Source organism: Homo sapiens, chromosome X (genome assembly GCF_000001405.40).
Source record: "Homo sapiens chromosome X, GRCh38.p14 Primary Assembly".
Classification (NCBI taxonomy): domain Eukaryota; kingdom Metazoa; phylum Chordata; class Mammalia; order Primates; family Hominidae; genus Homo; species Homo sapiens.
Genome location: NC_000023.11, coordinates 97,424,282 through 97,441,704, shown reverse-complemented (window position 1 = coordinate 97,441,704; position 17,423 = coordinate 97,424,282). Strand labels below are relative to the sequence as shown.

The 17,423-nt window shown below is 40.8% G+C and overlaps 1 protein-coding gene across 2 annotated transcripts in view; it reads right to left on the bottom strand.

Moving 5' to 3' along the window:
* Positions 1-17,423, bottom strand: part of DIAPH2 (diaphanous related formin 2) — a 920,156-nt gene that overhangs the window by 163,293 nt on the left and 739,440 nt on the right. For both annotated transcript variants that reach the window (NM_006729.5, NM_007309.4), the window contains exon 26: positions 11,960-12,055. In NM_006729.5, coding sequence (NP_006720.1) covers positions 11,960-12,055 — 96 coding nt within the window. The remainder of the gene's footprint in view (positions 1-11,959; positions 12,056-17,423) is intronic.

Genomic DNA, 17,423 nt, shown 5'->3' with positions numbered 1-17,423 from the left:
AGCTGGGATTACAGGCATGTGCCACCACGCCCGGCTAATTTTTGTATTTTTAGTAGAGACAGGGTTTCACCATATAGGCCAGGATGGTCTCGATCTCCTGACCTCGTGATCCGCCTGCCTCAGCCTCCGAAAGTGCTGGGATTACAGGCGTGAGCCACTGCGCCTGGCCCCAAAAGTAAAATTTAATTTTCATTTAAAAATAAAAAGAAAATGGAAACAAACAAAAATTACATAGCCAATACAGGTACACACTTCATCAGAAGATTCATATGAAGTGATGAAAAAAAGACACTAAATTAAGTGGTCTCTAATAGCACTTGAGAACTCAATGCAATCTGACTTCTACTCCTTTTTTTTTTAGACAGAGGTTCAAGCGATTCTCCTGCCTCAGCCTCCCGAGTAGCTGGGATTACAGGCATGCACCACCATGCCCGGCTAATTTTGTATTTTTAGTAGAGACGGGGTTTCTCCATGTTGGTCAGGCTGGTCTCGAACTCCCGACCTCAGGTGATCTGTCGGCCTCAGCCTCCCAAAGTGCTAGGATTATAGGCGTGAGCCACTGCGCCCAGCCTACTTCTACCCCTTTCTTATCGCCTCCCTCCAAACAGATTCTCCTGAAACTCTTTTGGCTAAGGTCACCAATGAATTTCTATTAGTGAAATCCAGTGGATCCTTTCCAATCCTTATTTTAGTCATCCTCTCAGGTACATGTTTATAAATTTGTATAAATTTAAGGGGTACAAGGGCAGTTTTGTTACATGGATATATCCTGTAGTGGTGAAGTCTGAGCTTTTATTGTAACCACCATCCAAATAATGTACATTGTACCCATTAAGTAATTTCTCATCTCTCACCCCCCTCCTACCCTTACATCCTATTTGAGTCTCCCATGTCTATTATTCCACACTCTATGTCATTTGAGTCTCCCATGTCTATTATTCCACACTCTATGTCCATGTAATCTCTGCTATATTTGATGTTATTAAGCTCTTTCTCTTTGAAAAGCTCTACTCCTTTGGCCCCTGTGATACCACAATAGCTTTCTTCTCCCCATATCTCCATAATCAATACCTTCACACTCTCTCTTTCTTTTTTTTTTTTTTTTTTTTTGTGAGACGAAGTCTTACTCTTGTCCCCCAGGCTGGAGTGCAATGGTGCAATCTCGGCTCACTGCAACCTCCACCTCCCGGGTTCAAGCGATTCTCCTGCTTCAGCCTCCCGAGTGGCTGGGATTACAGGTGTCTGCCACCACACTCAGCTAATTTTTGTATTTTTAGTAGAGACGGGGTTTCACCATGTTGGCCAGGCTGGTCTCGAACTCCTGACCTCAGGTGATCTGCCTGCCTTGGCCTCCCAAAGTGCTGGGATTACAGGCATGAGCAACTGCGCCTGGCCCATGCTGTCTTTCATAGGCTCCAAATTCCGAGCTAGTCCCATAAATTGGTGGTTCTCAACTTTGGAAGCACATTAAAATTGGCTAAATAATTTTTGAACATGCTATCATCTGTGCTCCAATCCTATAGATTTCAATTTGATTGCTTCAGAGAGGAACTGGACGTGGGTATTTCCTAGAAGTACCTCAAAGTAATACCAGTGTGTGGCCAGAGCTGAGAATCACTGCCATAAATGTTTCTTTTCTCCAGGGTTCTGTCTTAGGATCACTGCTCTACTCATTCTCCAGAGATTATCTGACCCACCCTCATGTTATTAACTATCACCTGGATGTTTATCATTTCTCCGAGACTCCTGGACTCATGCTGCTGAGAAAACTAAGTGGCTAGCATAAGGATATCTGATTTGCCCCTATTCGACCACCTGCTTCCCTCCCATCAAGAGAATTACATATGTACTACCACCCACCTGCTCCTGACTTTCACCCTTTGCAAACCAGTTAATTCTGAAGTTGACAAAGATTTTCTTAAGGTGGCCCCACCCACCCCCCGCCCCTCTTTTATTTTGAGACAGAGTCTGGCTCTGTCACCTGGGCTGGAGTGCAGTGGCACGATCACAGCTCACTGCAGCCTCAACCTCCTGGACTCAAGTGATTCTCCCACCACAGCCTCCTGAGTAGCTCGGACTACAGGTGTGTACCACCACACCTGGCTAATTTTCTTTTCTTTTCTTTTTTTTTTTTTGAGACGGAGTCTCGCCCTGTCGCTCAGGCTGGAGTGCAATGGCACGATCTCGGCTCACTGCAACCTCTGCCTCCTGGGTTCAAGCGATTCTCCTGCCTCAGCCCAAGTAGCTGGGATTACAGGCGCGTGCCACCACGCCCAGCTAATTTTTGTATTTTTAGTAGAGATGTGGTTTCACTATGTTGGCCAGGCTGGTCTCGAACTCCTGACCTTGTGATCCCCCTGCCTCGGCCTCCCAAAGTGCTGGGATTACAGGTGTGAACCACCGCACCCCACCCCTGGCTAATTTTCAAATAAAAATTTTTGTAGAGACAAGGTCGCCCTGTGTTGCCTAGGGTGGTCTTGAACTCCTGGGCTCAAGAGATCCTCCTGCCTTGGCTCTACAAAGTGCTGGGATTAAAGGTGTGAGCCACTGTGCCCAACTCCTATTCATTTTTGGCACCTTTTCCATCCTACCCTCTTCTACCCTGTTAACTCAAGAATATCTCTCCTCTACCCTCAATCCAGTCCCTCTTTGTATGAGCCATAAATGTTCTTCATTTTAACTTATGAGAGTAAAACTCTACATTGGAGGCTATGAATTACATATCACACAACTACAAATCACTAGGCATGCTAAGGTAGTTTAGCTAAATCACACAGTATATGCTCAACAAATGCAACTGAATTAAGCAGGGGGCATCACATATTTGAAAGTAAAATTTGGCATAATTATTAGTGATTGACAATTCCATTCAAGATCTTTGGTGTGTCTAGCGTTTCCTGTCAGAATCTCTAAAAGAGACACAATTTATCTTTTCATTGTCTTCTAACTACTTTTCTTTCCCTCAAATCTCAGCATTCAAGGTATAAAATATATTCTTCATTATTTAATGCATTATATCCTGGCTCTTGGTGTGGCGTGGTGGCTTATGCCTGTAATCCCAGCAATTTGATAGGCTGAGGCGGGCAGATGGCTTGGGCCCAAAAGTTCAAGACCAGCCCGGGCAGCATGACAAAACCCCATCTCTACAAAAAAAATAAATAAATAAGTAAAAATAGCTGGGCGTGGTGGCATGCACCTGTCATCCCAGTTACACAGAAGGCTGAGGTGGGAGGATCATCTGAGCTTGGGAGTTTGAGGCTGCAGGGAGTGGTGATCGCACCACTGCACTACAGCCTGGGTGACAGAGTCAGACCCTGTCTCAAAAAAAAAAAAAAAAAAAAAAAACAAACAAACAAAAAAAAAAAACAAGAAGCTGCCTCTTGGCCCTCAAAATTACATTGAAAGTACATGGGAAAAGGTCAGGTGTAATCTGCTAGTTGAAAAACCCATTGGTCAATTATCAGTTGTCATTCTGCCTAGCTTTTCTATAGGATGTGACCATGTTGACTAATTCTCCATTCTGAAATTCTCTCTACTCTTGGTCTTCCAGGTACTACTTTTTTTTTTCTTTTTTTTTTTTTTTAAAGAGAGGGTCTCACTATGTTGCCCAGGCTGGTCTCAAATTCCAGGGCTCAAGTATTCCTCTTGCCAGTTGGGATTACAGGCACGTGCCTCCATGCCCAGCTCTTAGGTACCACTTTTTACTGCTTCTCTTCTTCCCTAATTTTTTTTTCTTTCTGAGTATCCTTTGTTGATTTCTCTATTTACCTCTTAAATATTATAATTCCCAAATGTACCATCCTCAACCCTCTCATTTGAGATGTCCTTTCTGGGTGATCCCAAGGTTTCAATAAACATATATATGTGCAGATGTCCCCAAAATCTGTCTCCAGCCTCAAACTCATTTACGTGTGTGTGTGTGTGTGTGTGTGTGTGTGTGTGTAAAATCATGTAATCCTTTACTTTAAACCCCCTGCTGGCTCTTTGCTACAACAAACTAACTTTTCATCATTGCCACTTTACTCCTTCATATCTCCATCACATGTTTTTGTCATTTCCTTTATCTGAAAAGCCTATTCCTCTTGTTTTCCCCCAAACTACTACTCATCCTTCCAAACATAGATCAAAGGCCACTTTCATCATGAAGCCTCTCTTGAATTCTCCAGGCGGTTAGTTGCTCTTTTTAGCACTTTTTGAACACTTATATTATGAAATTTATATCATATGTCTTTCCCATGAGGCTCTGAGTTTTTAAGGGCAAGACCCATATTTGTACTCCAAGGCCCTAGCACTGCTGCCTGGCCCCTAGTATTTGATTAATAAGTATTACTTGGATGAATGTCATGCTTTTATTTATTTCCTTGCATTACTTTCTAAAACCAGATTTTAATTGTATATTACAATATAATGAATGTATTATAGACTAAATGGGGCTTAGTGTGGTAGTATAAGATTCTGACATTTATAAAACAGAGACTGAGAAAGTTCATGAAGAAGAACTTATCTTCAGGGAGAAAGAAGTAAACAGCTTGGAATGAACGACCAGCAAGACCTAGTAATAATAAAACAAAACAAGCACAAAACCACAATAGACCTTGGTCATCAAGATGATGCTGAGTATTACGTGGGATCTGTTATGAGCTTGTCTTTGGCTCTTGCCATCTTGGGTCAAATCCTCTGTGATGGTGGGCGGGGGAGGGTGTCATTTAAAATTGAAAGCTCTTTCTCTAAAATTATCTGTAATAGTCTGAGGCATAAGCAGTACTACTTGGTACACAGGTGGAGTGCCGCACTAAAGGAAAAGAGAGAGGCATTTCCCCCCTACTTTGTCAATGATGACTGTCAAACTCTGGCGTTGTGAAGCCATGAGTCCCTGCTGCTACAGAAGACAGCAAGCGTAGAAATGCATGATATTATAGCAGAGGTGGAGGAACGGTGGTGTTTGCTTGTTTCTGTGAAATGCCCCCTGATAACTCCCAGAAATGCTTCATAGATCCCTTATAGCAGATGAGGTGCTGAATGTGTATGTAGAGACAAGAGCCAGCAAAATTTGAGTTTTCTTATTTACATGAGGCAGTGAGGCCTGGGGAAATGTGGGTTTTGTTTTGCTGTGAAATTATTCTTCCCTAATACATACGGAGGTTTCTTTTTCTCTGTTGTATAACATTGTTTCTTGTCCCCTATCTGTTCTCAAATGGTAAATTATACCTTCTCATTTATACTGTTATCTTGCTGACACATAAAACTAGGATCATGTGTCTCCTGAGTTGCTCCTGATTTTTGAAATTTAGTTTTCTTGGTTGCCCCGTGTGGTTCTAAAACCAAAATACATTTATTGTTTCCTGGTTTCATTTCTTCATAATGCTTCTCTTGTGTGTTTTTTTAATGTCTAGAACTATATATCAAAATCCAGTCATAGCCAAAATGCTAAGTTAGATATCCACCTATTGCTGAGAAGCCCATTTATATTTACTTACAGTGGGCAAAGAATAAAAAAGTCGGGTTGGTTGAAGAAAGAGAAGCAAGCTCTAAGTATCTATAGCTATTTGGCAATAAAACAGATGTGGAGTTGTGTATTTGTATTTTAAGAGTGGTTTTCTGGCTGGGCACGGTGGCTCACGCCTGTAATCCCAGCACTTTTGGAGGCCAAGGAGGGTGGATCACGAGGTCAGGAGATTGAGACCATCCTGGCTAACACGGTGAAACCCCGCCTCTACTAAAAATACAAAAATTAGCCGGGCGTGGTGGCAGGCCCTGTAGTCCCAGCTACTTGGGAGGCTGAGGCAAGAGAATGGCATGAACCCGAGAGGCGGAGCTTGCAGTGAGCCAAGATCGCGCCACCGCACTCCAGCCTGGGCAACAGAGTGAGAGTCCATCTCAAAAAAAAAAAAAAGGAAAAAAAGAAAAAAAAAAAGAGTCATTTTCACTCCTGCAAGGTGTCTCTCTATGTGCTTCTTTTTCCTCCAAAGCTTATCTTTGATCTTACAATTACACAGCCAGGGCAATTCTTTACAAAGTAGATGGTAAATGTATGCAACTTATTATCTTATGTGGTAACAAAGGCTGTAACAACACAGGATCAAGAAAGATTTAGCAAAATTCAGAGAAGATAAATCCATACTAGGTTGTGAAGGAAAAATGAGATGTACCTTTCACCCACCAAACTGCTAGAAAGAATAGCCCATATTATACAGACACAAAGGAGAGAGGTGGGGGGTTGGGAGTGGTTACTCTAACTCCTATGCTGCACAGGCTTACTGTTCCTATCTCTATTACAGCATATAGAAGACCGCATTGTAAATTGATCACATGGTTTATATTCGTGTTTTCCCAAACAGTATGTGAGCTCCTCTAGGCTCCCGTTTGATTTTGTATCCTCAGTACCTAACTCAGTATAATGCACCGAGGAGGCATTCAATAAGACTGCTCAACTGTTGAATGAATATGATCTTTCCCTATAGCCTCACCATCTACTCTGCATAGCTCTGTATTCTCTTCCCAGTTCCATCACAATATTGAAAGGATGCTCTTCAAAAAGTCATTAGAAAGCTCCCAAATAGCAAATCATCGGTTTTTTACCCTTTTTTATTCCACCAGAGCGTATGTCATTGTCAAAAATGTTCACCTCTCCTCCCTTCTTAGGACTTCCCTCTTCCTTTGTTTCTAGGACAATAATGTCTGGATTCTCCTACCTGCCCAATTGCTCCTTGTCTATCTTCTTTTAGCCCCTTAGTGAAGGTGTTTCCAAGTCTCTGTCTTTGGTTTTCTTTTCTCTTAAAAATCCCTATAACAATCCCTTCCCCTATCCACACTATATCCAGAACACTCAAGAATTCATTTTGTCATGAAATCTGTAACTATATTTCCAAAAATCTTCTGGACATCTTGACCTCAGTGTTCTGCTATCACTTTCAGTTTAACTTATCCAAAACTGAATTTACCTTCTTCTACTATCACCACTCCTTTTCTTGATCTTAATAGTTTAGTAACCTTACGGCTGGGTGCGGTAGCTCACACCTGTAGTCCCAGCACTTTGGGAGGCCAAGGCGGGCGGATCATGAGGTCAGGAGATTGAGACCATCCTGGCCAATATGATGAAACCTCGTCTCTACTAAAAATTAAAAAAAAATTAGCTGGGTGCGGTGGCGTGTGCCTGTAATCCCAGCTACTCAGGAGGCTGAGGCATGAGAATTGCTTGAACCTGGGAGGCGGAGGTTGCAGTGAGCGGAGATCGCACCACTGCACTTCAGCCTGGGGACAGAGTGAGACTCCTTCTCAAAAAAAAAAAAAAAAAAGTTTAGTAACCCAAATGTCTTCTTAGCCAGTCATACTCAAAGCCATAGGGTTATCTTTGCCTCTTGACTACTCCTCTCACGCTAAATTATCTCTAAATAAGAATATGACAATAGACTCCTAATTGATTACTTATACTCCTTTAAATATTCTAATGCGTAACTTGTGTTCCTCCACTGCTTAAAAGCCTTCAATAAATCCCCATTGCTTAGAGAATTGTAAGTTAACACCTTAGTCTCTCATTCAAGCACTCCCTGATATGGAGCAAACCTAATTTTCCAGAATTACCCCTATACTTCTATGCTATATATATCCTATTTTCTTACTGTACTGTTTGCCATTGTTGAAAAATGCTTTGAACTTTCTTGCCTCTGTTTTTCTTAATGACATTTCTTTTGACTAAAATGCCCACTATCCCTAACTCCAGCTCTCACTGTTGGAATCCCTACTCATCCTTCAGTCTTTTCCTCCATTATTATTTTTCTGATATATCTGATAATGCATGCAAGTCCCATTCTCTGAAGTCACACAGTATGTTATTAACACCTCTTGTATGATACTTATTATCTTCTGCCTTATTCTGTAGTCTTTCTGTGCTTTTTATCGTTCCTATAATACACAGGGTCTTATAACTAAGGAAATCTTATCTTAATTATTTCTACATCTTCCCTCATCATGTACAGCATAGTACCTTTTACACAGCAGATGTACAATAAATGAATATTTAGGGGCTCATTTCCTAATCTCTGATTTTGACATCAGCAAAGCTTGTGATCTGGGTTAATATTCAGCTAGTATGCACCAGTACAACCAGAGTCGTTATTTATCACCTGTGTACATTTCGACTATCTGGGGCCTGTGATACACCAGTTAATATTTTCTTTTTTTCTTTTTTTGAGTCAGGGTCTGGCTCTGTCATCCAGGCTGGAGTGCAGTGGCACGATCTCTACTCATTGCAACGTCTGCCTACCGTGCTCAAGCAATCCTCTCACCTCAGCCACCTGAGTAGCTGGGACTACAGGCACATGCCACCATGCTTGGCTAATTTTTTTTTGTATTTTTTTGTAGAGATGGGGTTTTGCTATGTTGTCCAGGCTGTCCTCAAACTCCTGAGCTCAAATGATCCTCTCACCTCAGCCTCCCAAAGTGCTGGGATTATAGGGATGAGCCACCACGCCCAGCCTTTTTGTTTTTTATTAAAAAAAAATATTTTCAATTATCACTACTGATATGATAGTCTACCTTGAAATGCCTTTTGGTACTTAACTGAAACAGCACATCCGCTGAATGGGCTGGAGGCAATATGTGGAAGCTCCTTCTGAGTTACTAAATATGGTAGGTCTTGGGTAGGGGGCACAGGCTCAGAGTGGGCGATTTATAATTTAGGCAACTAATCATATCATTTATTAACATTTTGATTTTCTAATGAAGAATACAGACTATCACCTCATCTTGTTTACATATAAAATTTAAAACATTACAATTAGATGGCCGGGCACAGTGGCTCACACCTCTACTCCCAGCAATTTGGGAGGCCCAAGTGGGTAGATCACCTGAGGTCAGGAGTTCGAGACCAGCCTGGGCAATAGGGCAAAACACAGTCTCTACTAAAAATACAACAATTTGGCCGGGCATGGTGGCTCACGCCTGTAATCCCAGCACTTTGGGAGGCCGAGGTGGGCGGATCACCTGAGGTCAGGAGTTTGAGGCCAGCCTGGCCAACCTGGCGAAATACCATCTCTACTAAAAATACAAAAACTAGCTGGACGTGGTGGCGGGCACCTGTAGTCCCAGATACTCGGGAGGCTGAGTCAGCAGAATCACTTGAACCTGGGAGGTAGAGGCTGCAGTGAGCCAAGATCATGCCACTGTACTGCAGCCTGGGCAACAGAGCAAGACTCTATCTCAAAATATAAAAATAAAAATAAAAATAAAATAAAAATACAACAATTAGCTGGGCATGGTGGTATGTCCCTGTAATCCCAGATACTGGAGAGGCTGAGGCACGAGAATCTCTTGAACCCAGGAGGTGGAGGTTGCAGTGGGCCGAGATCGCACCACTGTACTCCAGCCTGGGCAACAGGGCAAGAGTCCGTCTCAAAAAAATAATAATAAATAAAAAATAAATAAAAAGATTACAATTAGAAACACAATGGTAGAGCTCTGTATTTTACATAACAGTAATACCCATCTATAAGCGATGGTAATGAAAATGGCAAGCAGAGCAGTAAGTACATCTCCGCTGATTGTGGTTGACTCTGATTTTAGTGTTTTTTGGATTTTCCTTTTATTTTACTTTACTTGGGGGAAGATAGCCTTCTTTATAATTAGCCTTTTCTGCTTTTATCTCATCATGCTGAAGTGGAGGTTGTTGGAAAAGATCAAGAATGTCAATGTTGAACAGGGAAAGTATAACAATACCAAGTCAATGGGATCTTGGAAAGGAAACAAATCAGGTGCCTAAGAAAGTAAAAATAACGGGACTAGCAGGAAAAGATGATCTAGCTAGGAAGGGCTGAGGCAAGGAGGAAATCTGTAAAAGTCCCCGGTTCTGCTTCTTCCAGAAAGAGGCAGACAGAGTTTTTTGGCAGACTTGTAAACTCTGTGCCTTCTGTCCCCACTCCCTCACTTCCAGCTCTTCTACTGATGACCAAGGTGCTTCCCAACCACTGCCACTGTCTGCATTCGAGTTTCGTTTTACCTCTGGACATTTGCTTTGGCTGCTGCCACTTGGAATGACTGCCACAGCTAAATCGAGTGATATTTTTAACCCTATGTGTTCATGGAGGCACTCCAGCTACAAACCAAAGGAAATCCCAATTTAGATTACTTGGAATCAGTACTATAAAATTATGCAGTTTGTGAATATATTCTTGGTGTTTCACAGTTGACAACACTATATTCCCTTGAGTACCAAACTCACAGAAACCCCATGGAATGATCTCTCTCTCCAAGTACAGTTTTTCTGGAATCAGTATGAGGTGTGAGACTAATCAGACAAGGGCTTTAGCAAATGTGCATTTTTAAAATAAACAGCCTAGAAAAATTATGGCAGTTCTTTTATGGCCCAGAATAACATGTTTTCACTTATCAGCTGCTTAACAGAGAAATGAATTGATACAAAAATGATTTCAGTTCACCTTTCACTGACTACTATTGCTCTGATAGTTCAAGAAAGAGCAGTGAAGGTTTTTATTTTCCTTAAGAGGTGATAGGGGCTTGATGGCATGGTAGAACATTCTCATTTACAGACAAAGGCTGCGGATAAGTGGAATGGCTGCCTCATAGTTATAGATGAGTAGTGCTCCTAGTATTCTGCCATGCAGCATTACCTTCAAAATGAATATGAACTTATAAATACAGACTTCCATTCTTTTTTTCGTCCAGTCTTCCACCCTTTTTGTAGGCCATCTACGATGCATTCATATACATAAAAGTAGTCTTATACTCCAACCAAAACACTTGTTTCCTCTCAATCAAATCTTATCTTTAGGTTAATCTCTCAGGGACCATCCATAAATAGCAGAGGCAGAATGTTATCCAATATCCATCAGGATTCACCCAAATGTGAAAAAGATGAATATAACATATATTGTCTTCTGCCATCAAGGTCATCACTGCCAAAAGCTTTCCTGGACAACTATGTTCTGGGCCCCATTTCTCTCACTCGTTTGTTGCAATACAATGGTTTTGAGAGCTACTAATTTCCATTAAATGACACATGGTAACTTCCAGTCCAAATAGAGAATATTTTTGGAATTGCAGGCTATTTAAGGCAAATCTTATTAATCTAAATGAAGTAGAGTTTACATATTGACTATTAATTTTCCATTTTTCATTTACTTCTCCATATAGCTTTACAGCCCATGAAGAGGAGTCTTAAAATCAACATACCTAATTTCTTTCTCTACTTCAAGAAAGATATGAGCTACAAATAGAAAACTTTACTGAGAGGAGGTAGACAGTTCAGCCTACTTGGATTATCCTTAGAGGAGCTATTACATTATTTACTTCTACCATAGGGTATGAACAGAGAAAGTAGACAACTTTCCAGTTCACTTGGGTGAGGGAGGTTGTTTTACTTCTTTTACGATTTTTCTTCCCCTGAGATCTATTTTCATAGTGTGGCTTTAACTGTTACTAATCAAATATAAAAACAAAAACTTTGGGATTTGAGGGGATCTTGGAGTATCTGTTCCTCTCCTCCCTTTATTAACATGGATCACAGAGAACAGACTGCACTGCAAAACCAAAACGGTCTCTAGAAACAAGCATTGTCTCAGTTTCCTTACCTGTGAATAGCTAATGTGATCTCCTTAGGGCCAATTACTTTTAATGATTTAATTACATTTATGGTTTTAAACTACTTTCCACCTAAACCACATGCTCATAAAATAACAATTAAAATATTTAATATTAAACACAGTGGGAGTCCTTGTTTCTGATTTTTGTTGTAAAGTCTACAGTTATTTGAAGATACATTTACCAAGTTGAAACTTGCAATCATGTAGATGCCTGCTGAGATTTCACACATGAGCTGAGATCAACTGTTAAAAAAAGTCTTCATGAGGAAGTATTTTTATTTTTCCTTTTTTTTTTTTGGTGTTGCTACTTTGCTCTGAACATTCATATTTTACAATACTATGTGAGGTGGAATGTGTTTTACCTGGATTCCTTGGAATCCGCTTTCGACGGTCTCTGAATGCTGCACCTGATTGTAGGGCTTCTAGAAGATTATCCATCACACCAGTCTCATCACCCTCTGGAGAAAGGGAGAAATCAGAATTAATCTTGGAGCAATTAAAGTTAAACTACAGGAAAATAAAGGGAAAAACTCCTGTCAGATTTACATAATACCCCTAAATTAAAGACATATATCTGTTTTAACATAATGGATCCTGTCAGTTTCTGGCACCACAGACTACTTTGCTTATTATGCACCATTAAGAAAAATTCATGCCAATCCCACTGTTCTTTCAACTTAAAGACCTTGTCTTTTGTATTATTGATGACACGCTCAGTATGCAAATAAACAGTAGCTGATCAGCTACTGCTGCCTTCCTGTTAAGATTCTTATAAGATATTCCTAACCAAGAAACCACTGACTCAGCTTAATGCAATCAATGTGCAGGGCGTGATTTGATGAAGCGGAGTTACACAAGGTTAAATACTGATTGTATTAATACTTTCGGCATTCAACCATCATCTGCGATTATCTTAGAAAACACTATTTGCAAAACACATTTGCATTCAATTCTTACCTAATCCATATCCTTTACCATTTTGAGATGCTAACACTGTATAAAGAAAAAGGTGACCACATTATCTGAAAGGCCACATTTTAACTTTTAGGGACATCAGCCAGAGTCCCACTTCCTTTTTAGAATGCTGCTGTGTGTCTAAACTTTTCCTATGGGAAAGAACTGTTAAGGAGCCATAAGTGGGATGCTCAGAAGATGTTCGTGGAAATTCCTAACAGAAACAGCATTTAAAACATTTTACCCTCCTCCTATCTTTGACAACTCTAGCCATGAAAAACACTTTAAAGATTTGTTAGAGTGTTTGTCTCAAGGTGTCAATGGCCAGAAAGTCTCTATTACACTGTGCATAATCCCCAGTGAGCTCAGCCTGCTCTTCCTAACTGGCCTAGCTGATGAAAAGGACCCTAAATAGGTGGCTACCTTGAGGGTAGCTAAATGTGTGAGTGTGAGGTAGATGACAATTTGCAGGCAAGAGGGTTAAGAGAAGAAGGAGGGAAGAGGGAAAGGACATTGTTTCTGATGCTATTCCAAAGTTAAATCTAAATCCTACTTTGTTTAAAAAATTAACTATGGGGTATGAGATCACAAATGAAAATACATTTTTTTTTTTTTTTTGAGACAGAGTTTCGCTCTTGTTGCCCAAGCTGGAGTGCAATGGCGTGATCGTGATCTTGGCTCACCACAACCTCTGCCTCCGGGGTTCAAGCGATTCTCCTGTCTCAGCATCCTGAGTAGCTGGGATTACAGGCGTGCGCCACCACGCCTGGCTAGTTTTTGTATTTTTAGTAGAGACAGGTTTCTCCCTGTTGGTCAGGCTGGTCTCGAACTCCTGACTTCAGGTGATCCGCCCACCTCGGCCTCCCAAAGTACTGGGATTATAGGCGTGAGCCACTGCGCCCAGCTGAAAATACATTTTCTTATGGGACAAGAGCAAGCTAAAATATTTTTTGATTATGTTCTGCATTTGATCTGAAACTTCTCCAATGTTATAATAATTTATTCTTTTAAAATAAACTCTCTAGGATGGGGTATTGAATGAAAAAAAAAAATGAAGAGAAACACTGAGGTTCTCAGGTCTAATATTTGGTGAAAACAGGAAAAATGAAGTAGAGCCCATTGAGTAAACATGGAAAGGGGATTGTGTAGTTGTAACATTCATTAAGAGGCTGGGCGTGGTGGCTCATGCCTGTAATCCTAGCACTTTGGGAGGCTGAGGCAGGTGGCTCACTTGAGGTCAGGAGTTCAAGACCAGCCTGACCAACATGGTGAAACCCAGAGTCCACTAAAAATATAAAAATTAGCCAGGCATGGTGGTGGGCACCTGTAGTCCCAGCTACTCGGGAGGCTGAGGCAGGAGAATCACTTGAACTTGAACCCGGGAGCCAGAGGTTACAGTGAGCTGAGATTGTACCACTGCACTCCAGCCCGGGCAACAGACTGAGATTCCATCTACAAAAACAAAAACAAAAACAAAAACAAAAACAAAAACAAAACAAACAAAACAACATTCATTAAGCTCACAGACACATCTGAAGTATCACCTGCTCTTTTCAATAGAAAAAAAAAGACCTGAAGGTAGTTTGGTATGGCTAGAATGTACCTGGGAGAATTAAATTATATGCAGTTGACACTTTACAGTTGTTAGATATTTTAATCCTCACAACATACTGAGATAAGAACTATATGTATTTCAACTGTGGTGGAGAGGCCCAAGTATGAACTCAGATCAGTCTGATACCAAGCCCAGTGCTCTTTGCTCAATAGCTGGAAGAAGTTGAAATGAACTAGGAATTAGTGCCCAGATGATGAAAGATGAAAATTCTATGATATGGGGCTTGAACACTATTCGATAAGTTAACAGGATTCACTAGGTATAAAATGCAGGCCATAAATGTGAACCACATAAATAATGCTAAATATTCTAGTAGTAATATTAAAAAATAAAAAAAGGTAAAATTGATTTTTTTTTTTTTGAGCCAGAGTCTCACTCTGTTGAACAGGCAGGAGTGCAGTGGCGCAATCTCTGCTCACTACAACCTCCGCCTCCTGGGTTCAAGCAATTCTCCTGCCTCAGCCTCCCAAGTAGCTAGGATTACAGGCGCCTGCCACCATGCCCGGCTAATTTTTGTATTTTTCAGTAGAGACAGGGTTTCACCATGTTGGCCAGGCTGGTCTCGAACTCCTGACCTCAAGTGATCCGCCTGCCTCGGCCTCCCAAAGTGCTGGGATTTCAGGCGTGAGCTACTGCGCCTGGCCAAATTGATTTTTAGTACATTAAGTAAACATTCAACCAAATGTATTTTCAAAATGATGTATTTTACATTCTTCTTATCAGACTAACTCTTAGAAATCTAGTACATATTTACTTCTGCACACGTCAGTTCAGATTAGCCACATTTCAGGCACTCAATAGCTACATGCAGATGGTGGTTACTGTACTGGGCATATCAGCTATAAACAAAAGGAAGTAACCTGATCAGATTTATTCTTTAGAAAGACTTGTTAGACAGCATTGTGGAGAATGACTCAGAGGATGGTGAGACAAAAGGCAGGGAAATTTTAGCCGGGCACAGTGGCTCACACCTGTAATCCCAGCACTTTGGGAGGCCAAGGTGGGAGGATCACTTGAGCTCAGGAGTTCAAGACCAGCCTGACCAACATGGTGAAACCCCGATTCTACTAAAAATAAAAAAAATTAGCCAGGTGTGATGGCAGGCGCCTGTAATCCCAGCTATTCGGGAGGCTGAGACAGGAGAATTGCTTGAACCTGGGAGGTGGAGGTTGTGGTGAGCCGAGATCACGCCACTGCACTCCATCCAGCCTGGGTGACAGGGCGAGACTCCATCTCAAAAAAAAAAAAAGGCAGGGAAATTTTTAGGTGCATAGCATAATTGTCTAAATAACACATATCCTGAACTAAACAGAGAGCAAAGTGAATGGAGAGGATGGATATTTTGAAGGCATTAATACAGTCAATAGGACTTAGCAGGCAAGAGAAGGAGGGTGAGATTAAGGAGAGGAGTTTAGATGACCAGGGATAAACAAGTATGAGAAAATGTGATCTATTTTATATATCTAAGAAATATATAAGTAGAAATAATGAAAAAGAAGTTGGAAATGTGGGTCCGAAATGCAAAAGTGAACTCTGGGCTGGAGCTAAAGATTTGGGTGTCATTGGATGGTGGATGAGATTACCTACCCTGAAAAAGTATATTAGAAGAAGGATAGAATAGAAGATGCAATTCCAGAGAACCTCAACTTTTTAAAAAATATTTAAGAATTTTTAATTGACAAGTAAAAATTATACACACACACACACACACATATACATACACACACACACCCAGTATATGATTTTTTTTTTTTTTTTGAGACCGAGTCTCCCTCTGTTGCCGAGGTTGGAGTGCAGTGGTGTGATCGAGGCTCACTGCAACCTCCACCTCCCAAGTTCAAGCGATTCTCCTGCCTCAGCCTCCCAAGTAGCTGGGATTACAAGTGTGCACCACCATGCGGGAGCTAATTTTTTTTTTGTATTTTTAGTAGAAACAAGGTTTCACCATGTTGGCCAGGCTGGTCTCAAACTCCTGACCTCAAGTGATCAGCCAACCTCAGCCTCCCAAGGTGCTAGGATCACAGGCATGAGCCACTGCACCCTACCATGATGTTTTAATATATGTAAACATTGTGGAATGACTAAATCAAGCTGTTTAACATATGTCACCATTTTTTGGTAGTCAGAACACTTAAAATCTCTGAGCAATTTTTGAATACACAATATATTGTTATTAACTACTGTTACCATGATGTACAATAGATCTCTTGAGCTTATTCCTCTTGTCCAACTGAAATTTTGTGTCTTTTGACTAATGTCTTCCTAATCCCCTCCCCAGAATCAGAGAAACCCAACTTTTAACAGGCAGTCAGGAGAAGCAGAATTGCAAAGAAGACAGGGAAGGAATTTTTAGAGATATATAAGTACAAGAAGGTGAGGACAACAGCACAAGTGAAATTTTATGTATCCTTACAAAAATGATAATTATAAAGACTATGTAGAAAAGTAAATATATGTAAATTACTGAAAAAATATATTTATGATTTACCTAAATAATATGCAAACATAAAAATGTATAACATTATAGATATTGTTTTATTAAAATTCTTTAATGCTATTATATTGTAATTAGATAAAAAGATGGAAAAACAAATATGACAAAAAGTTGAGAGGAGGCTGGGTGCAGTGGCTCATGCCTGTAATCCCAGCACTTTGGCAGGCCAAGGTGGGAGGATCACTTGAGCTCAGGAGTTTGAGACTGGCCTGGACAACATGGTGAAACCCCATCTTTACAAAAAATACAAAAGAAAAAAAAATAGCTGGGTGTGGTGGCATGTGCATGTATAGTCTCAGCTACTCAGGAGGCTGGGGCGGGAGGGTCACTTGAGCCTGGGAGGTTGGGGTTACAGTGAGCCATGAGCATGCCACTGCACTCCAGCCTGGGTGACAGAGTGAGACCCTGTCTCAAAATAAATAAAGTCAAGTGGGAATAAAAATAAATACCTTTGCTTAATTTAGTAGTTGCTACCTCACTATACTTGTCGAAATATTATGCTAGAGCAACGTCTCTCAACCTTTTTTCATTATTGTCTTCCTCCCACTGGGAGTCTTTTTAGATATTTTTTCTAATGACCCCTATTGTTAACATTTAATGCCACAGATATCTTGTACGTCTGTTTATGTACCGCGGTCCTTTGGAAGGCTACAAACCATTGCAATATCTAAGATGTTTTTCCACCCACATTCCCAAGAACCAGTATTCATCCCTTTTGGGGTAATATTGTCCCTTCTGAGAACATATATGCCAAATAGTTCTG